The following is a 23,270-nucleotide window of genomic DNA, read 5'->3' as shown; positions in this document are numbered from 1 at the left end:
CTCAGACTTAAGAAATAAATTGAGGTTGTTTCAAAATTGTGTGACTTCCATAGACAGCTACTTGAGCATTCCCAACTTTTTGGAACCCCCTTTCCTTTACTATTTAAATATAATATTATAGCATTGCTTCGGTCTCATGTACTATAAAAAAACCAATAACCACTCCAATACCTGAGAATTATTAGTGAGGCATTTCTCCTAGTTTCCTCTTGCTACATTTTCTGATTCTGCTCTTTCACTATTCACACTCAGCATCTCACCTCTGCAGCCACTGCCTGTGGTTGGCATACCTGTGCTCCCATTGGCCACAACTGAGTCCTTCGCTTCTCCAGAATACCAAAGACACAGCGTAGCTGTGTGTAACAGAATTTCACTGAGGATTTAAGATAGTAGAAGGTGGGTTTACAACATAGGACAGCCTTCAATTTAAAACTAAATGTTTATACTCTTTAGTTAGTCCTAAGCATGAGTAACTTCTCATTGTCCACTCTTCCCTAAAGCTATTGAATTAGCTACATTTTCTCAAACTCTCTGTCACCTCTTCTTCTCCAGTTCCTACAAGTTTTCTACTCTCTCTTATCCAGGACATCAGATAATCTCATTTTCTACCCTTTAATTTTGAAGATCAATTTGGCACTCTTGTAATTCATCTCCCAAAGAATCCTTATTTTCCTAAAAAAACAAGAATCATCTCTCCTAATGTAATAATGCCACTTGTCTAGTATGTCAAAGTGGTTGTAGTCAGTTCGTGCTTTAAACAGAATTTTTTAAATGATCATATTACATGAACAAGTGAGAATCAGTAAGCGAGACCTCTCTGCAGGTTGGACTTGTCAATCAAGCTTCATGAACAATAATGGTAATTAGAGCAGACTGAAGGGTCCTTAGTATTTCAACAGATTGAAAAGAAACAGGAAGATATTACATGATAGCAGAACAGAAAAAATAAGGGTTGGGATGTGGAACTGTGCCTGATTATGTGGGAGAAGGAGAGAAGAGTTGCTTGACTAGAATTGTGACATGGTGAGTAGTAGAATATGAGCTCAGAGAAATGGTTTGTAACCAATTATAGGATAACTAGAGAGGACAAAAGGAGTTTAGATTTGGAACAACAGAAAACAAGAGATAGATGCTTTTCAGGATTCTTTAACAGAAGTGAGAAATGGTAAAAGAAATATTTGTAGAAGATTAATCTGGTGATATAATAGGAGATATGTTGATGAAATAAAAGGCTGGAGGCAGAGAAATGAGTTTATATGATTTGACAGTAACTGGGAAGGGCACTGAGGAAATGAGTGAGCCTCGTGACACAGGAAGGGAGGAGGGTGGTGGGAATTGAGAACTAATGCAAAGGACCCACCATGTTCAGGCTTAAGGCTGCTGATCAGCAACGCGACCCCCGATATATTTAGTGATAGCTGGGACCCGGAGGTGAATAGGGGAGGAGAAGAAATCTTTCCTCTGCACGGCTGGGGTCATGCCATGAGCTAGAGTGGTAATTTTCCACCTCATCTGTCTTTTGAGACATCATTTGTACCTATCAAGACTTATGTACTACTGTTTACTAATATAGTTATGAAAAATTTTTAAATATTTAAATATCTTAATCTTTTACAAACTATTGTTGTTGCTTTTTATAACAAAGGTAATCAATGTTTAAAAGGAATAAAAGGTAAAAAGGATATAGGATAAAAATGTCAATGATCTATTATCTACAAATATACCCTGCTAACATTCTGCAGTAAAATGTACTGTATTTTAACAGATTAACATATAACATATTAAAGTCAGTTTTGTCTTGTGCCTAGTTCATATCACTTTTTATATTATGTTTTCTATAAAGGCTTTAAAAATAGAACAGTTATTAAGCTTTCTGCATTGTTTTCTCCCATTTAAACTAATAAAGAAAATGAACACTTGGTATTAGTATTGACAGGGTAGAATGGTTAAAATAAGGAAGCTGATAAAATAATGCACATTTCTCAAATAGAGCCCCATTAACAGAAATGTGTCTCAGGTTTTGATTCCATTCATTTTGGCCCATGATATTAGCTGTCTCAGAAACATCATATTTGCAAATCACTCATGTTTAATAAAGACAGGCATTGTGCAAGTACTGAAGCTGAGGAAGATATCTTGCATTCTGAGTTTACACTGGCCCCAAGATCCACAAAGTATTTGCTTTTTAGGCACTAGCCATTTGAAAAGCGGTTTTCTTTCTGCCACTTATGGCAGCGAAGAATGAAAAAATATAGTAAAATACATTATTTGAAGCCAAAGACAAAGCAGAGTGCTCTCAGATGTCATTTATTTTACTTAATAACTCTAGCCATAAAAAACTCAGCAAATCCTATAGAGAGCTATTTTTTTACAATTGAGAACTATTTTCTGTCCATAAATGATGACATATGTATAAAGAAGAAAAAATGACTTGCCATTATCTCCTTAGGGCTCTAAACATAGCTAGAAGTAAATTTTAAACTGTTATAAGTTTGCAAAGTTTTTGATACATAGCAGTTTAGCCATTGCTTTTCTGGGCTTACATCTGACAACAAAATATATTTCCTATTTAGTAGGAAAGTTTTGTAGACCTTCACTACTCCCTGGAAAATAAGATGTCTAGGAAGAAAGAATGAGCTAACCTGGTATAATTGTGTGGGGTTTTGGAGATGAGATCTGGTCCATATTTGTCAATGACCAGTGTGTTGACCTTGGGAAGGTTATTTAATCTCTCTATATTTGAACTTGATGCTAATATACTTACAAGCATCCTTCTCATTAGCCAAGTCATTACTTAATATGGAATACTAGAAGAAAGCAAACCAACAATGATTATTTAAGCACAGAGTGTTGAAAAGACTGTTTACATATTAAGCAAAATTATCTACCCATCACAGAGGGAAGCCAAGCTGCCCAGTCATTCCGTAGGATCACTTCATTTTGCACATTTGCAAATAGATTCCCAGTGATCAAGCAACAAAACAGAACAGCACACATCTTTGACATTTTCAGTAGCCAAAAATGCTTGGGAGTAATTTTAACTAGAAATAGTATGAATAAATTGTTTCAAGGACGATGTCATATTAGAAGAGAGGTCAAAACAATGTACATGTAGCTCTACATGACTATCTATTGATGCTTTAATATTAAAAATAACTTTCAAGGCATAATCCTCAGCCTTCTGTTTCCTCCTCACCTTCCCTTGAAGGGTTTATGACTCCAATACTTTGGGCTATGCAGTACTTTTATTTCTATGAGTTGAAGAAAGCAATAGTCCTAGAAGAAGATAGGAAGAAAGAAGCAATCGTAGATTTGTCATTAAAGTTTCCTAAATAACCAGAGAAATGACCAGATAAATAATTTCCAGAATCTGAAAATAGTCTAGTGACCCAAATAGGTACGTCTGGCTGCCCTTTCCAAGTTCTGTGGCTTCTAGTGTAGTTCTTACAAGTTCAAGTTGCTACTCTCAGACAATACCACTATCCTGAGTTGTACTAAATAAATGTAAAAGCTGAAAAGAAGCCTCCTTGGTTGTTCATACCTTCTGAAAGAAAACAAAAATTAGATCATCAGAGAGAGATATGTCTTCTACTCTTGCTTTATCTTCAGATAAGCAACACATATTTGTGGAGTACCCATTAGATGCCTAGTGCTGTGCTTGGCACTGCTGGGGAAAAAATGAAGATATGTCAGGTCTCTTTCTTTAAGAGATTTCATTTAATTCAAGATGAAAGATAAAAATACATCACAGAGCCTGCCTATCAAAGTAAGGTCCAGTGGGCCAGCAGCACTGGAATCGCCTGAGGTTGTTAGAAATGTGGAATTCCAGACCTTAACTCAGTCCTAATAAAGTGGAATCTGCATTTTAACAACCACCCCCAGGTGATATATATGCATATTAAAGTTTGAGAAGCAATGACAAATACAGCAATATTTTCTCCCCCTACAAATATATTCCCCACAGTTATAAATGGCCACGGGCCCAACTACATGCCAAGACTATTAATGTGCATGTTCATGGAAGACAAGGAATCACTTAAATAAAATTTGCTCAAATGTATCTAATATACATTAGACAATCTTAGCAAAGAGGCTGTTGTTTATTTTTAAAGCTACTGTAGTACAAAAAAAAAAAAGACTATTTTATTTAGTGTGCTATTTGTAGACTTCCAAAAGGTAAAAATGATTTTGTTAAAGGGGGACAATATCTACTATCTGAAATATCTTTAGTTTACAAGGCTATGAACATAGCACCAGAGGATATACAACTCTATTTACTAAAGATTTTGTGATTTGGTGATTAAGATTCTTGTCTCTTTATCCTTTTTCTGGAACTAGCATATCTCTAGGATATGTCAACAAAAAGAGATACCAGGTAGGGAAGGATTTTACTCAAAAGATGTTTAAGTTTGTGTGTAAGATTAAAAAAGTATCAGGCTGAATTGTGGAAGGCTAGAGCATGTAGGTTAAGTACATCATAAGTAATATAATATGAAAGCATTTTTATATTTAAAAGTTATTTGAAATCAATGACAGTCCATTTTTGTATTCAATAAAGGATAAACTTGAAATCAGTTTAAAAGTGATAGTGATATTAGTATAAAATGTACATTTGCTTTGTATCACTGAACCATGAAGCAAATACCTAAGAATTCTTAATGATTACTAAATTGCTCTTCACCATACTGATTACACGTTGTACTGTATTGTGCAATTAGGTCGATGTATAATTACACATTACATTCATATTACTATTCTTACACATTTATTCTTTATTCTTTTAGATCCCTTAAAGAATCAATGACATTCCTTGAAGTTAAAATAGATTTCATTTACATTAATGAAGATTTTGATTAGTTAATGGAAAATAATTATATGCAAGTTCCTGTACTGGATTACCCTTTACAATTTTTTACATGACTTTCCACTCTTTGTTTGATATTAGCAATTGTGGTGTGAAATGCAGTATGAAAGAAGAAGAAAGGTGTTCTTACTTTCTTTTTTCTAACTCCTTTTAAATCAAAGTTATAATTTCTGAACATCACATTTGGGTCAGGCTCAGTGGCTCACACCTATAATCCCAGCACTTTAGAAGGCTGAGGCAGGTGGATCGCTTGAGCCATGGAGTTCAAGATCAGCCTGGGCAACATGGTGAAACTCCGCCTCTACTAAAAATATTTTTTTAAAAAATAGTGGAGCATGGTGGCATACATCTGTTGTCCTAGCTACTTGGGAGGCTGAGGTGGGAGGATCACTTGAATCCAGTAGGTGGAGGCTGCAGTGAGCCATGTTCATGCCACTGCACTTCAGCCTGGGTGACAGAGCAAGGCCCTGTCCCAAAAATAAAATAAAACCATGTTTTGTCATTGAAGAATGATTTGTTTTTCTCCTTTACAGAGATCAGTTCCCAATAGTGATGAAATCTTACCATTAACTATGAGAAATAAATATAGCTATGATCCTAAAATAAACTTAAAGTACACTTACATCCCTCTAGATCTGTAAAAATGGGAGTATACATTTGTGAGAACACTGCAAAGGCATTTGCTTCCATCCAAGGTGTTTGTCTTGCTTATTCTGATGCTCTGGGTTACAGGTTAAGAGACTGAAAAGGTAAGAATATAAATAGCCAATGCATTCTCAGACTACATGTTTTGTGCTGTTGTTCTCTTTGTTTGGTTTTGTTTTTAAATAAGAAAATTATCACTACCTCTAAAGTATTAAGTGGTTCTAAAATGCAAACGCTTTGGAAAATAAATATAAATATGTAAGTATATAAGGAGAAATATAAAATACATATAAAAATGTGTTTAAAATTTTATCACTTAAAATGTCAAAACATTAGGAATTTTTGTTCCAGAATATAAAAGTTCTGATTTGTCATATACCTTAATTAGGTACAAAACTCTTTTTCCTAAAACAAACACATTTGTTATAAAAATATTATTTCAATTTCATTTCTAGTAGGAATGTCTTATAATTTGAGACACATAAAAAATAATTTTACTCATATGCATGAAAGAATCAATATCCCATCTTTTTCAGTATGAGGTAGCCAGTTTTGTGGGACAGCTCCATACAGACTTATGGAGATGATTTTTCAAGTTTTATACTGAAATGTATACATTGGACAATGCCAATTTTATTAGAATGAAATAAAATAAAAAATTGGAAAGGAAAGACAAAAACTATTCCAACAGCCCTCTGCAATGAGGCCAGACTCAGGACAGAAGAAAATTCTTAGAATTACAGGTTTCATACTAAAGTTTCTCTGTTCATTTTCTTAATGTTTATTCAGCCAAGATTTTCCCTTACATAATGTTTTGTGAGTGGAAATCTGAATCATCGTGGAATGGTTACACATTTTTTAAAACAGTGCCCTGCCATTAAAGACTTCTATAATGATGGGTAAGGAAAATGGCATTATGAAAACATAATGATTACCCATGTGGAGCCACAAGACGCTTCACCTGCTTTACAGAGCTTGGAGTAAATTTTCTGCAAAACTATCGCAATGTCACAGACAGAATTTTGCTAATATTCCAATTATGTCAGTTAAATGTTATGTTTGTGTTCCAATCCACTCAAACATGTGATAAGTGGTATGTGATACCCCCTTGTCTTATAGTGTGTTGTATGAAAGGATCTTTTCTGGAATACAAACTAAATGGTATTTCTTTCTTCACAATTCTGTTAATTTCAGAGTATATTATTAAATATACACAAGTGCCTACTATGTGAGTAGTACAAGGCACTGTGTTAGGTTCCACAAGGGATGGGGATAGAACAAGACAAATTGGGACACAAACAGACAAGAAAATTACAATCTAAAAAAGAAGAACAAGCAGCTAACATTAGTTAGTCTAATATATTCTCCCCCCAACCAAAAAAAAAAAAAAAAAAAAAAAAAAAAAAACACTGCCATGAGAAAGGTTCAAACAAGGAGCAGACATGTAAAGAAGACAGACAATTTCTTCATAGAGAAGACTGAAAGAGGAGACACGTGATCCCGTGATCCATATAGCAGTTGTAATGTTTTCAAGTTACACATTCAGGTTCACATTAAAAAATTATTACCACCTTAGTTCCATGATTTTCGGTCATCAGATAATGCCTCATTGGGATCATCTAGGATGTGCAAAATTCTCCCACGGTCTACATCATCGGTTCTGTGTTCAGTCTTCTCTCATCCTTATTGCCAGGGCTCTTTCATAGCCCCTCCATGCCATGGAAGACTCTGGCACTATTACAGGCCCTCTCTTCTTAGACACACTGAGCTGCTCTGGGGATTCCTAATGAGAAGTTGGAAATTCCTCCTTTAAACTTCTCCCTCTAATTTCTGGGGTCCTGTAAATATTTCTGTAGTTATTATCACCTCTCTTCTAAGGATGAAACAACCTTGGGGTGGAGAGATTCGGTGGCAAAGATCCTCACGAGTGTGCCCAAATGTATAGCTTCTTGAGAAATGGCTAAGATTTTGCCATACTGAGATGACAGAATGAAGCACTCCCGGGAGATAGCAAATAGGTAACTTTAGAGGTCAGCAAGGCATCCAACTTTCCTGGGTTTGTGAGCAGGAGGTGGCTCAGTCAATTACTCCACTCACAGTAAAATCAGAGTACAATTCAGTAAAACAGCCATTCCCTCATTCTGTTTTACATGAACCTAGTACATCTATCTTATACTTTACCCAACCACACGTCTCTTTGAGGTCATGCCTGATTATAACCACCCTCAGCATCTATCTGAGTACCTGGCCTAATCTAGGTTTATAATTGATTAATCAATAGTTCCTATAAAGGGAGTTTGGGGATTTATATTAAATGGTGGTACTAAGTATTAAATCATTGGATACTTGGAAGGAAAAGGTAAAGAAAGATTATACAGCTCCGATAATGTTGCTTATATATTATCCATTTCATTTCCACCCCCTCACCAACCAGTTTTGCTGAGAAGCTTTCACCCTGAATAAGCACAGAAAACCTAGTGGACACTGCTATCATTGACCCTGCACCTTAAAAAATGTAAAAGCCAGATTGTGACAATGTATCCATATGAATCAGCAGTCAATGCAGCATACATTTAAATACATAATGCTCTTGTAGAGTTAGGTGGATTCTTAAAACATTCCCTTATAATAGGGTATACCTCATGTACATCTAAAGGTGCACTGAACAACTAACTACTTTTTAAATAGAACCTAACCATTGATAAATTTATGTAATCATCTACGTAGAAACAATACATAATTTCCCTCTATTTAGCGGATGACATATCTGAATTACCAGTGAAGCATTTAAAGACCACTGATTTATAATATGGCCTTGACTTTTCCACTATTCATGTACAAACATATTTTTTACCAAAACAAGAATATTTTGCACGTTGCACTTTTTTACCTCTACACATTTATCCATGGCTCTCCTCTGTTCTCTTTTCTCTATTACTGAAACTGAAATACTCCATATCCTTCAATGCAGTGCAGAGACCACCTCTTTCAGCATGCTTTTGAGGATTACGCCTCCTTTGAACCCCAAGCACTTGTTACATTAATGATTATTTGGCATTCAGTAACTACTTGCCTGTGTTCAGGCCTGTGTGTTTGTGCATGCATGTGTGGTTTGTGCATTTAAGTTCACACATATTTTATTTATCTAAGATCAAAAATAATAATTATGTTTATTGTGTCCTTTCCATATGCTATGAAGAGTCCTATGCATTTACATGATTTAATACATTGAATTATCACAACCTTTCATTTATTGCATATTGTGAATCCCATTTTATGGATGTAGAAAATGAAGCATACAAATTTGGTAATCTACTATAGCAAAACTGAGGTATGTGAAAATATAATTACATTACTTACCCTTAAAATTAAGCCCAATATTATTAATTAGGTTGTCAAAATAGTATTTTAAAAATTAGAGACATCATAGCCTAATACTTCTCCTTCACATACATAGTACTCATTTGTACTTTAGCCAAAAAGCACCACGCAATGACTATGACAAGGTGACTCTGGCCTCAGTTCCTCACCTTAAGCATGTAAAACCTCTGGGCATCCCAGTCTGAAATGAGAAAAACAAATTACTGTGTTTCCTAATTCATTGTATTTTTTTTAATTTTTATAGAGTCAGGTAGTACAAGTGCATTTTTGTTACATGGATATATTGTGTAACAGTGAGGTCGGGGCTTTTAGTGGAACCATCACCTAAATAGGGTACATTGTACCCAACAGGTAATTACTCATTCCACACCCACCTCCCACCCTCCCACCTTTTCGAGTCTCCAGTGTCTACTACTCTACTCTGTATGTCCATGTGTCCACATTGTTGCGCTCCTACTAGGTGAGAATGTGCAGTACTTGACTTTCTGAGTGATTTAACCTAAAAAAAAAAGGTTCCCAGTCCCATCCATGTTACTGCAAAAGACATGATTTCATTATTTTTTATAAATGGATAGTATTCTATGGTGTGTGTGCATGAGTGTATGTGTATAATATATGTGTGTGTATTTTGTGTGTGTGTGTGTGTGTGTGTGTATATATATATATATATGTTTCTCCAAGAATGTATACACATTTTCTTTATCCAATCATCTGCTAATGGACATATATTGATTTCATGTCTTTGCTATTGTGAATATTGCTGTGATAAACATACGAGCACAAGTGTCTTTTTAATATACTAATTTCTTTTCCTTTGGGCAAATACCCAGTAGTGGAACTGCTGGATCAAATGGTAGTTCTATTTTTAGCTCTTTGAGAAATCTTCACACTGTTTTCCATAGAGGTTGTACTAATTTACATTCCCACCAACAGTGTATAAGCATTCTCTTTTCTCCTCATCCTCACCAATATCTACGTTTTCTTGACTTTTTAATAAAAGCCTTTCTGACAGGTGAAAGGTGCTATCTCATTGTGGTTTCAATTTGCATTTCACTGATGATTTGCGATGTTGAACTTTTTTTTCACGTTTGTTGCTGCCTGTATGTATTCTTTTGAAAAATGCTCATGTCCTTTGTCCACTTTTTAATGGGGTTATTTGTATTTTTCTTGTTGAGTTATTTTAATTACTTGTAAATTCTAGATATTACCCTTTTGTCAGATACATAGTTGGCAAATACTTTTCTTCCTTTTGATAGGTTGTCTGTTTATTCTGCTATTTCTTTTTTTTTTTTTTTTAATCATACTCCATGATTTTTAATATATTTCTGAAATCTGAAATACATACATATTTATTTAGCATTTTTAAATGTAAATTCACTGATGATATTATCCTACAGATTTTTTTTTTTTTTTTATTATACTCTAAGTTTTAGGGTACATGTGCACATTGTGCAGGTTAGTTACATATGTATACTCTGCTGACTATTTCTTTTGCTGTGGAAAAGCTTTTCAGTTTGAGTCTCATTTGTCTATTTTTGTTTTGTTGCATTTGCTTTTGAGATCAGTCATAAATTCTTTGCCTAGGCCAACTACTTCATTGCATTTGTATGAGAAAAAAAGAAAAACCAGAGGAGAAGGGTTTCATTAGTTATCAAAGATCATACAAATGTAAATGGTATTCTAATATTTTCCCCACACTACTGTGCATTAAGCAAGGACTTAATTGTGAACATTGTACAGAGGAGGAAAATAGGTTCAGTGAGGCTAAGAGACTCTTCATGGGCCAAGGAAAGAACCAAAGGCTGCAGTGAGGCTGGACCTCAGTGATCTGAGTTTCCTTCCAGTGCGCTTCTACAGCAACATGCCTCCGCTCTGCAGATGGAGATTTTGGTAGAGTTTCACATCACCATGATCAACCTTCACCTTCAAAATCAAGAGAAAAAGAGACTGAAACTTTGGGATCTAACTTAGGGATCTCAATGTTGGATGAATAACTGAATAAAAATGACAGCCTGCATTATCAACTTGTGAGTGTTATTTTTCCATTACACAAAAGTACCGCTAACCACCACTTTGCAAGTTTTCACATGCTACCATGATGATCAGTTTCAGACCTCTCTGCCAAGTGGGAATGGATTTAAAGCTTTGTGTTAATTTAATCATTTTCTTCTCTCTTGAGAGAGGCAACAAGGCCACCAGTTGGCATCCTTTTGATTTAGCATTTAAAATAGTTCATGATAATAGCAGAAAGATCCTGTCATCATTTTTACAAGGATAGTTTTATTGGTGGCTTTTGTTCTAACTCCAGTCTTTTACACATTGTGCCCCTACAATAAAGCAGTTGAACCCACTGCACAGACTGATTTGATAGATGGAGAAAAATATATAAGTGCTTCTGACATGTCCTGGGGCCACCTGAGTCAGGTTCCCCTTCTGGTAAATAAAGACCAACACATTATGCGCAATTAGATTAACCACACAAATATGTTTACATTTTTCACTCTCACACACAAAAATAGAACATATTTAAATTTTTCACCGAGTAAGCCAATAAGAATAAAATAATATGTCTGCTAAGTATGTTTGCTTTGTCACCTTCCTTGAAAAGCCTGGATTATACTTCCTTTTTGGTACATCAAGTGGTATCGATTTTTCCTTATTCTAATTAGGATCTAGTTTCAACTGTTCAGTTCCTGTGGAGTTTGGGCTCCATCATACAATATTATTAAAAACAAGAGACGGTATTAGCAGTAGGGTGATGCATCCCATTTCCATCTCCCCCAGGGAAATAATGGAAGTGCCGTTTCCCAGAGGCTGCAAGTGGCCTCTGGATTTTCATACTCTGCTCTTTCCTAACTGTAGAGCCATTTTGGCCAAGTCTTTGAACATCTCTGGATCTGAATTGTTTAGCTTTAAAATGGGAGGATAAGTTAACATCTTAGACCTCCTCCACTTTTAAATCTTCTGGGAGCCTATGAAATATTGAAAAATCTACTATACACATAACATATGGTGGGGAACACAAAGATGTCATCATTGTCCTCAGAGAGTTAGTGGTAAATGTAGAAAAGATGTAAGAAACTGAGGATGCAGATATTGGGAGTGAAAAAGCTTAGTTTTTCTATTAGTTATCTGAGGCCGTCATAACAAAATACCACAGACTGGGTGGCTTAAACAATAGAAATTCATTTTCTCAATGTTTTGGAGAATGGAGGAATTCCAAGATAGAAGTCCAAGATGGAAATGACATCAGGGTTGATTTCAGGTAAAGCCTCTTTCCCTGGTTCGTAGTTGGCTGCCTTCTCACTGTGTCCCCAGAAGACCTTTCCTCTGGTCATGTGCAGAGAGAGAGTGGGAGAGAGAAAAAGAGGGAGCATGCACACTCTGGTGTCTCTTCTTCTTATAAGAACACAAGTGTTATCAGATTAGGGTCCCACACTTATGACCTCATTTGACATAATTACCCTCCTGAAGACCCTATCTCTAACTCAATACAGTCATATTGGGGGTTAGGGCTTCAACATATAAATTTGGGGTGGGGAGGACACAATTCAGTTTATAACAGCTCTTTTTCAGCACCATCACATACAGCTGAAGGGCTCAGACCAAATTATTTAACCAGAGATCTTATTTTCTTCCTGGAGAAAAGAATAATCATACATTCTTCAGAAAGAGGTTATAAGGACTGGCTAGAATAAAAGATTGTAATGTGCTATATTAGTTATAAAATGCTAAAAAAACACATTCAATATGATTATAAAAACTATTAGTGCTGAAAATATTAAGTGCATTTGGAGTTGAAAAATTAGCAAAATGTGTGGATTGGAATTGTCAAAAGGGAAGGTATTGGGACCGAAACAAATATAGAATCTTAGTTACAAGTATTGATTTTTAAATCACAAAGCCCAGAGTCCAAAATCTGTTCCTGATTTACTTCTTCTGTGAATTTGGGCAAGTTTTAAAAACTTTTAAGATTTAACTTTCTCTCAAAATGAAAATAACATTGCTGCCATAAGAGAGACAGTATTACAACTGAAAAGATTACTAACAAATAAATATTAGTTGTCATCAATAGGATCTTAACAGGATTTATGGAAAAATGGAAAAGTTGTGTCAATAGGAATGGAAAAGCACATTTAGAAAACAGAAAAGAGACAGGAAATAATGGGCTACGTTAGGCAGAAAAAAAAATGATATATTTGTAAACATAAGACGGACCTAAGGTAACAGAGGTTAACTATCAGTCAGCTGTTGCTGTATAACAAATCACTCCAAAACATTGATGGCCTAACACAACAATTATTTATTCGTACTGGGTTTGCTAGGCTTTGGCTGATGTATGCTGAGCGCAGATCAGTAGCTCTGCTTCAAATTGTAGGTCCACCTGGGCTTGACTCCTCACACAGTGTTGGGCTTATGTATATTCCATATTTCTCTCATCCTTCTCAAACCAGCAGTCTAGCTAAGTGATGTGCTTCTCACAGGAATGGCAGAGTACAGTCAAGCAAGCCCAACAAACTATATGCATTTCATGGCCCTGTTTATGTCAAGTCTGCTAAAAATTCTACTGCCAAAATAAGTTACATAGATGAGTCCAAATCAAGGGGTGTAGAATTATACCCTGTTTATCATGAGGTCAAAGCAAGTCTCAGGACCAAGCCCAGTATCAGATGGACAGGAAGTGTCCTCCCATGGAGGAGGAGGAGAGGGAGTAATATTTTTGAATGGGAATCCAATATACCACGCTAAGAAACACAAGGTTTTATCTTGAAGGTAAATGAAAACAACTCTAAAGTTTTTGGAGCACTAGAACTATATGGCGCCCACGTATTTCAGAGAAAAATAAGCTTCTACAGGTGTACTATGGAGACTAAAAGAAAAGAATCAGGGAGACTGGTCAAAAGGCTAAGCAATACAGCTATGTGGGAGGCAATACTTTCTGTTAAATTTGGGGTAACATGGCAATTACATTTCAAAGAAGCAGATACCAAAATCACTTCAAAGTAAGAAGGCATGAAACTTAAAAATTCTTCATATACGGTCATGTGATGCAGAAAGATGTTTTGGTCAATGATAGACCACCTATATGATGGAGGACCCATAAGTTTATGATGAGTTGAAAAATTCCAATTGCCTGTGATGTCTTGATGATCCTGACCCTGGGAATGCCTAGGCTAATGTGTGTGTAGATGTCTTCATTTTTAACAAAAAGTTTAAGAAGTAAAAAAAAAATTTTAAATACAGAAAAGAGCTTATACAATAAGGATATAAAGAAAGTAAATACTATTGTACAGCTGTACAATCTGTTTGTGTTTTTATCTAAGTGTTATTACAGGAGTCTAAAAGTTTTTTTAAAGTTTATAAAGTAGAAAACTTATAGTAAGCAGTTTATTTATTATTGAAGAAAAAAATTGTATAAATTTAGTGAAGCCTGTGTACAGTGTTTATAAAGTCTACAGTAGTGTACAGGAACCTCCTAGGCCTTCTCATTCACTCACCATTCCCTGACTCACCCACAGCAACTTCCAGTCCTGCAAACTCATCTGTGGTAAGTGTCCTATACAGGTATACCATTTTTAATCTTTTATACCATATTATACTCTACCTTTTCTATATCTGGATATATTTAGATACACAGATACTTAACCATTGTGTTACAACTGTCCACAGTATTTAGTACAGTAACATGTCATATAGGTTTGTAGCCCAGAAGCAATAGTCTATACCATATAGCCTAGGTGTGTAGTAGGCTATAGCATCTAGGTTTGTGCAAGGACACTCTACAATGTTCGCACAACAAAATTGCACAATACATTTCTCAGAATATATCACTGTTGTTAAGCAATGTATGACTGTATAAGAAATGAAGTGGCTGTTGGAGGAGTGCTAGAATAGCTATCTATTGCTGCGTAAGCTACTACCCCAAAACTTTGTGGCATAAAGTAACAATATTATCTCATAGACTTTCTGTAAACTTGGAATTCAAGAACAATTTATCTTGGTGGCTCTGGCTTAGAATCTCTCATGTGGTTACTGTCAGATGTCAACCAGGATTGTCATCTAAAGGAATGACTAAAACTACAAGATCACTTGCAAGCTTGCTCACACAGCTGGCCTGCAAGTTGGTGGAGCCATGATGGAAAGGCCTTAGTTGCTGTCCACATGGACATCTCTGTAGGGCTGCTTGACTATTCTCATGATATGGTGGCTCGTTTCTACCAGAGTGAGTGACCTAAGAGGAAGCAAGGCAGAAGAGGCAAAGTTTTTTTTTTTTTTTTTTTTTTTTACCATGTAGCCTCAGAAGTCACACATGGCCAGTTCTGTCACATTCTATTCACAAGAAAGGATTATTAAAGTTGGTACACCTTCAAGAAGAGGAATGTTAGGCTCTATTTTTTCTTTTCTTTTTTTCTTTTTTTTTTTTTTTTTGGAGACAGAGTCTTTCTCTGTCTCCCAGGCTGGAGTGCAGTGGTACGATCTCAGCTTACTGCAACCTCTGCCTCCCAGGTTCAAGCAATTCTCCTGCCTCAGCCTCCCGAGTAGCTTGGATTACAGGCCCGTGCCACCACGCCCAGCTAATTTTTGTATTTTTAGTAGAGACGGGGTTTCGTCATGTTGGCCAAACTTGTCTTGAACTCCTGACCTCAGGTGATCCATTCGCCTTGGCTTCCCAAAGTGTTGGGATTACAGGCGTGAACCACCGCACCCGGCCCAGCTCTACTTTTTCAAGAGGATTGTGTCAAATAATTTTTGAACACATTTAAAAACTACCACATGAAAATCTTTTATAGTACCTAGTTTCAGACTTACCAAGATTTGTAATAAGTATAATAACCAATAGAAACACCAAATGAACAACTTAACTCTTGGAGTAGAATTGAGGTAAAATTATCATTTTTGGAATTACCTACATCGAGGTATTGGATGAAGACCTAAAGGCACTGAAAAACATGAAAACGGGGAATTTAGAAAGAGAAGAACACAATTGTATGTACTATTTGAGAGTGGTTAGAAGAGAAGAGAGATACCAGAAAAGAAAATAAGAAAACAGAGAAGGGACAGTAATAGCAAATTTTATGTAAAAAATCAAGGACAGTGAAGCCACCAATGTTCTCTGCAGGGGCAATAACAGTTCTTTGTCAATAGTACCAAATAAAGATGGGATCTAGAGATCAGAATAGCTTCTTTTGTCAGATGGACTCTTACTTGTCTTCTTCCTTAGAAGCTGAGAATTAGGAAGACAGGTAATTGGAGGAGAATCAGGAAACTATTCAGAGCTCTGATCAAAACAATTAAAATATGACTAACCCAGCGTCACCTATATTAAAGACAATTTTATACCCTGTAAGTCATTCTTGAGGTAGCCATAAAAAGATATTCAAGCAGACATATGTCTGTATTGCATAGAAAAAGAAAATTAATGACAAAATCTAAAAGCAAATCAGTATGTGAGTTAAAACAAAGCAGGGTTAAAATGGGCATTTAAGAACACAATACCTTGTAGTTGCATGGAAAAATATGTCACTATATCACAAGTAAAACTGTGAAGAAGAAATACTGCTAATGCTGACATTTGCAGTTACAGCACTCTCACAAAGATGTTTGCAAATGTGCAGTAGTAGAAAAGGGCAGTAATATCAAAACATGGCCTTCTTTTTATCTTGTGTCTTCAGAGGGTTGCAATTAACAAAATCAACTACATTCTAAAAAATAAAGGAAAACGTTAACTTTTAAAATTCTCCTCAGGAAGACCAAAGCATTGCTAGACAAAAAATAAGAATGAAATCATTTTTTCCAAATAACTCTTCAGCAAAATTATGAAAGGCTCTGTGTGACAAGAACTCTATTTCAAGGACAAGAACTGAAAGCCATCAAGGCAGCTTGGCCAGGTAGAAAATGACATCACCTTATAAAATCCCTTTGATATCCACAGGCTGGTTTTCAAATAATGATTACATGCTTAGGTTAGCTTCTCAATAGCTAAAAGAATCATTTATTGTATACTTTTTCTCCAGGAAAAAGGGTTCTAAGTATTTTGCTTAAGAGTTTTGTTTACTTTGGTTCTTTAAACTAAGGAACCATAGTGCAGATCCCAACCCCATGAAACATACTAAGACAAGCTTCACCATTCCTAAGAAGCTGCCTTGCCACAAAGTGGCCATGTGGTGTCTGTCCGTCTGGGTTCTGTGCAGGTTCAATCGCTTCATTTAAAACATAATAAAACTATGGAGAATTGAACTTGGTGACCCTGTTTCACAGTTTTCCAAAGCACAAAAAAAGAATTGAATCGAGGGCATTGAAAAGTGAGTCCAAACTTTTATGGGTTTTCTTTCCCCCAGACCTCAGACAACAGCATTGTCATGAAGCAGCAGTATTCCTAAAGGGGAGTCTGGGTATTGATATGCAAATGTGGACTACAAACATCCCATTTGGCCTCAGAATTCCTGTGTCTAGCACTGTCACACAAATAGTTTTTGAATCTGTGCAGTTTATTCAGGACCATAAATATGTGTTTCACCCTGTGAACAAATTCTGTTTGCTCACAGAGTTCACAGCAGTAAAATACAAGGTAGACTACAAAACAGCCTCTATTTGACGTGATGCGCCTCAAAGTAAAGTTACTTTTAAATGGTCCAGATATATATTTACTACCCAAGATTTCAGTGCAAATGTAGTAGAACCCAGATGGTAAGGGTTTTCTTGTTTTGTTGTTGTTTTTATTTATTTTAGATTCTCTGTATTGAAATAATTTACTTGCTTTTTAAAAATAGAAATGTAAAGACAACTTTAGTTTACATTGTTGGTAAAATCATAAAAGTCATACTATTAATTCTGAATAGATCTGTGATAGTGGAAAGAAGAAAAATAAGTTTTGAGATATCTAAGGAGCAGATGGAATGAGGGGTAGATGTTTGCTAGTTCTCTCTCTCTCTCTCTCTTTCTCTCTCTCTCTCTATCTCCCATCCCTCTCTCATTTTAAAAAATAATAAAAACTTATCCCTGGAAAAAAATGTAAATTAACTTTCAAAATAGTTTGGATAAGCATTCCAACCACCAGAATTCTATTTAGCCCACAAAATTTGTATAGCCTCTACCCACATTTCCCGATGCTATTTCCAGCTCCTCCTGGCCATCTCCACTTCTTTCATAACTGCTCCACCTCTAGGTAACTGCTAGCGTGGAGCAGACACACTGAATTCTCACCACACTTTCCCCCTGAACATGCATAGAAGAGTGTAAGGCAGAGGGTGGGAAAGTTCTATTTTTCTATTATTTCATCCTGATTCTCTAATGCACTGGACCTACCAACCATGTGTCTATTTTCATAACAAACTAAAGCTGAAACAATTAGCCAAAAAGCAGATGATTTCAGAGGAAAATATAAAGCATTTGCCTATATGGATAAGCCAATGAGAGCATATACTATCAGAATAGAGACTAAACTGCCTTAAAACACCTATTGCCAATGTCTTACCACATGTCTTTCGTATGTGAAAGTCCAACAAACCAATTATTCTTCAGATGACTATGAAATAATTAAAGAAATCTAGAGTCTGTAACTGCATGTTCTACATTGGTGACCACATAAACTCACAGCATACTTTTTGTTGTTGTTTTGTTTTGTTTTTTTTCTCTTTTTTTTGATTTTATAACTTGATATATTTTTATTTAATTTTCAATATGAGATTGTATGGTACCTTGTCCTCTCCTAAGGCACACATTCTTGATTTTTATTCCCTCTATTTTTTATTTGCTCAAGATACTGACAACAGACATGAAGTAAAACTGGATAAGTCACTGAGTTAGAGAGGGTGAGAAGAAAAGGAGATAGGGAAGTCATGATAGGCTCCTCCCACTTTTGAGACTAGATGGTTCTATTCCTTTCTTTGAACATCATAATTAAATTACAGAATTAAAAAATCAACAAATTAAAGCCTTATGTTTTTACATATTAATCCTTATTAATCCTTAATAATCTTTAATAATTATTTCACCAAAAGCATGATTGAATGATAAAATCTCTCTATATAAATAGCTTCTCAGAGTATTTCTTAAATTTCTTAAGTAGAGGTGCTGTATTAAAGATCCAGTTAAGGCAAATAAATGTTGTTTCTATGCTTCCCCCAAATCTTTACTTTGATCTTATTGAATAAAGTGAGAATAGTTATTACGTTAATACTATCAAACTACTCTGAGGAAGAAACAGGATATTATAAAATTCTGTTTCTTTTAAATGAGTTGTTAATTTCAATCAGCTAATAATATTTATTAGGTTTGAAAAAATAGATTAAAAGAAAGGGTGAACATATCAAATTTAAAAGTTACAAATAGTTAAAAACTAATATAGCCTAATTGCATATAATAAGAAATGAAGTAAAGATTTTTACTAATAAAAAAATGACATTTTAAGATATTATGAGTAAACATTTGTTCATTTCATATTTTAAAAGAAAAGGAAAACTGTTGATTACTTGATTGGGAAAAGGAAAATAACAATATTCAAGAAGGAGGATGTTATTATGAATCAAGGCTTTCAATGCCAAAAAGTCTTTCTGAACAACAATAATTTTCTCAAGTTAAGTTTTAGAAGTATTGCTTTATTCTTGCTTTTCTTCTATAATTTTCAACAGTATCTCACGCATGTCTCTTTCATAATTGTATACAATTGGTAGGGTACTAAAATATAACAAAGACAAGAGACAGCTTAGAAAAAGGAGAAATTGAATACTTTTTATTGCTTTTTGTGATTATTTTTCATAAATTTTGCAGAGAAGATATAGCCAAAAAGCATCTTGGAGCATGTCCTGACCTTGGAGGAACTTTTTCTTCTGGAATATTTCCCGTTTGTGTTTGTTTTCTCCCCCTATGTAGTCTTTTACTTTTCTAGAATAATTGCGATGAATTACAAACATAAAATTCAGAGAATTTTTTAAAAGATAAATACTTATTCAACAATTTCATGTTTCATTTAACTATACAGATCTGAATATTTGTGTGATATTCTCTTGGATTTTCATGACATCTGCTTAGTTTTAAGGTATGCGTTACCTTACATTTTCTTCAAACTGGAGTTTTATTTGAGGCACTAGTGCCATCTGCTGGACACAGATAAAATTAAAGACTTGTGAACGCAGTTTCACATGTGAAAAGTCCAACCAAGCATAGCCCTTGTTCCTTAAAACTTAACCTTTATGAAACACTTGCTATTCTTTTCAATGTACTCAGAAACATAGGTTCAGACTTGTTTCCGTTGGTCATCCCAGGAAACTTAATGAAAAGTCTTTTAGGACTATTTGCCATCACAAATACAGTTTAAAACTACATTCAACATTCAACAAAATTTGCACTGAGCATTCTGGGTACACAAAAATGAAGACGATTCAGAAGCCAACTTCAAGATGCTTGTAATCCCATAGGTTGATAGGTTGAAAAAAGTAATTACAATTGTGAAATTAAAATGCTACAATCTACCTCATTCAAACAACATGTGAAAATTGCTGTAAAGATATACTTATTCCTAAAATAACAAATATAATAGCTCTGGGAGAGATTTCAGACGACTGCCTACTTTTGCAATTGAGAAAAATGAGACTAAAGTGTTCATGTCTTATTCAAATCATATTGTTAGTTAGTGTCAAAGTTGAAACCAGAAGCTAGATCAACTAATGCTCTTTTCATGGTTTCCCTTTCTGCCCAATCATTTCTTATCAATTATTTAACATATAACAAAGTGAAGGTAAAATATTCAATTTTAATAAAAGCTTAAACATTTGATATGTCATAAAGATCATATTGAAAGCATAAAAAAGCAAAAGAAAGACCATTTCAAAATCTTCTCACATTTTTAATTTATACGCTTGTTTTGTTGCTCATTGGTTTAATATGTGTCTTTTGCCACAAGATTTTAAGATTGCACAACAGAGCTTAGCAGAAGGCTTGGCATTTCACAACAGGTACATGATGAATGAACGAATGAATGAATGAATGAATTCTAGACTCATTTATATTTTCTTAACCTAGTGAGAAAGGAAGGACTAAATTAAGCATGACAGATTGCTGAAAAAAAAGGAAAATCGATGCAAATGAATGGAATGAATAACACTTTGTAGGTTAATAAAAATGTTTAGAGCTGCTTGCTCTTACTTCTTTCAGGTACATATTGAAATCCCTGTGGATAACTTAGCTATATCTGAATTATTTGATAACTAAATATCAAAGGATTAACACTGTCTAAATGTTGACTTGATCAACATAAAAGATATTCCCTACTTTTCTATCTTTAAGACAAATAAATATTAATTTGGATAAGACACTGAATTCTAGGGATAGAGAGAGGAGCCCCAGATAGAAAAAAATGTATTGACCCTGCCATAAAATTGACTATTGCTAGTGCTAAGAACTGTTATAATTGCAAATCATGTATTAATTTATTTAACCCTCAAAACACAGCTCGAGATATATTATTGTTAATTCCATTTTGGAGAAGGAAACACCGTAGCATAAGAAGTGTAATAACCTGCCCAATATTACAGAACTAGGCGTGGAGAAGCTGATCTACACAAACAGGCAGTGGGCATCAAAGCCTAAGCTCTTAACCTCTATGTGAGTTGTTCTTAAGGTGTGTTCCAAGGGCCTGATTCTCTAATGCACGGAACCTATCAACCATGTGTCTATTTTCATAACAAACTAAAGCTGAAACAATGAACCAAAAAACAGATGATTTCAAAGGAAAATATAAAGCATTTGCCTATATGGATAAGCCCAAGAGGGCACATACTGTCAGAGTAGAGACTAAACTGCCTTAAAACACCTACCACCAATATGTCTTATCACGTTTACATTTTATCTAATTTACATTTTTTCCAGGGGGTGCCTGAGATATTTTCAGGGGGTCTGCAAACTCAAAACCATATTCATCATAATATTCAGAAGTTATTTTCTTTTTACATTTTCCTTCTTTCACAAATACATAGTGGAGTTTTTCCAAAGGCTATGTGATGAACTGGATACAGAAATAGGTACGAGGATCCAGCTATATTCTGTTAAGCAAAATACTGAAGAGAGTTGAAAAAAAAAAGTGCCACTTTCCTCACAAGTATTTTAAGAAAATGTATTTATTTATTTATGATTTTTTTGAGACAGGGTCTCAATCTGTCACCCAGGCTGGAGTGCAGTGGTATGATCTTGGCTCGCTGCAACCTCCACCTCCCAGGTTCAAGTGATTCTCCTGCCTCAGCCTCTTGAGTAGCTGGGATTACAGGCACCCGTCACCACACCTGACTAAATTTTTGTATTTTTAGTAGAGACGGGTTTCACCATGTTGGCCAGATTGGTCTCTAACTCCTGACCTCAAGTGATCTGCCCTGCCTCAGCCTCTCAAAAATGCTGTGATTACAGGTGTGAGCCATTGTGCCCAGACTAAGAAAATGTTTAATTTTGATGAAATTATGCACTCATGTTAACATATAATGAGTTTATTACTGTTGATTTAAATTAATTATTATTTTAAATATATAAAATACTCTAAATAAATTAATAGTTCTTGGTTTTAATTTCTAAAAGAGTAAATACCTATAGATACAACCTACTTAAACAAAAGCTTCTTGGAGGCCTCAAAATTTATTTATTATTTATTTTTAAATTGACTTTCTCTTATTAAGAGCTTTTTTTTTTTTGTGAGATAGGGTCTTGCTCTGTCACTTAAGCTGGAGTGCAGTGGCGCTATCTCTGCTCACCGTAGCCTCCATCTCCCAGGTTCCAGGGATTCTCCTGCCTCAGGCCAAGTAGCTGGGACTACAGGCACACTCCACCATGCCCAGCTAATTTTTGTATATTTAGTAGAGATGGGGTTTCGCCATGTTGTCCAGGCTGGTCTCGAACTCCTGGACTCAAGCAATCCTTCTGTCTCAGCCTCCCAAAGTGCTGAGATTACAGGCATGAGCCACTGCACCAGCCTAATAGAGTAAATATCTATAGATATAACCTGCTTAACTAAAAGCTCCTTGGAGGGCTCAATAATTTTTAAAAGTGTAAAGGATTCCTGAGACCAAAATATTTGAAACCCCTTACACAAGACTTGTGTATAGTGGGTACACTACAATTTGAGTGCTGTTTTCACATTCACATCAGCTTGCAATTCTTACAATACAAAGAGTGCCTCAATAATAACTGGACTCCATGGACCTTTGGGCATACTTATTCAATATCAACATCTCAAATGTTAAAAATCACAACTTCCTAAGTCCATTCTAGTTCAGGCTGAAGCTCAATTATGTATAAGTCACACAAATGAGTTGAAAAAAATAAGGTTGCAATTGTAGGTTGGATTGTATCACTTAAGGTTTTGGATGCCAGGCTAAGGATGTATTTGTCCACGCTG

General features: G+C 35.2%; 1 long non-coding RNA gene across 1 annotated transcript in view; it reads right to left on the bottom strand.

The window, feature by feature from the left end:
• Window positions 1-9,098: 9,098 nt before the first annotated feature.
• Window positions 9,099-23,270, bottom strand: part of MAD2L1-DT (MAD2L1 divergent transcript) — a 100,247-nt gene continuing 86,075 nt past the window's right edge. The window contains exon 4 of the long non-coding RNA NR_187429.1: window positions 9,099-10,813. This is a non-coding gene — a long non-coding RNA (MAD2L1 divergent transcript). The remainder of the gene's footprint in view (window positions 10,814-23,270) is intronic.

This window comes from Homo sapiens, chromosome 4 (genome assembly GCF_000001405.40).
Source record: "Homo sapiens chromosome 4, GRCh38.p14 Primary Assembly".
NCBI classification, from domain to species: Eukaryota; Metazoa; Chordata; class Mammalia; order Primates; family Hominidae; genus Homo; species Homo sapiens.
Note: the sequence above shows the minus strand (reverse complement) of the source record. Positions and strands in the feature narration are given on the sequence as shown.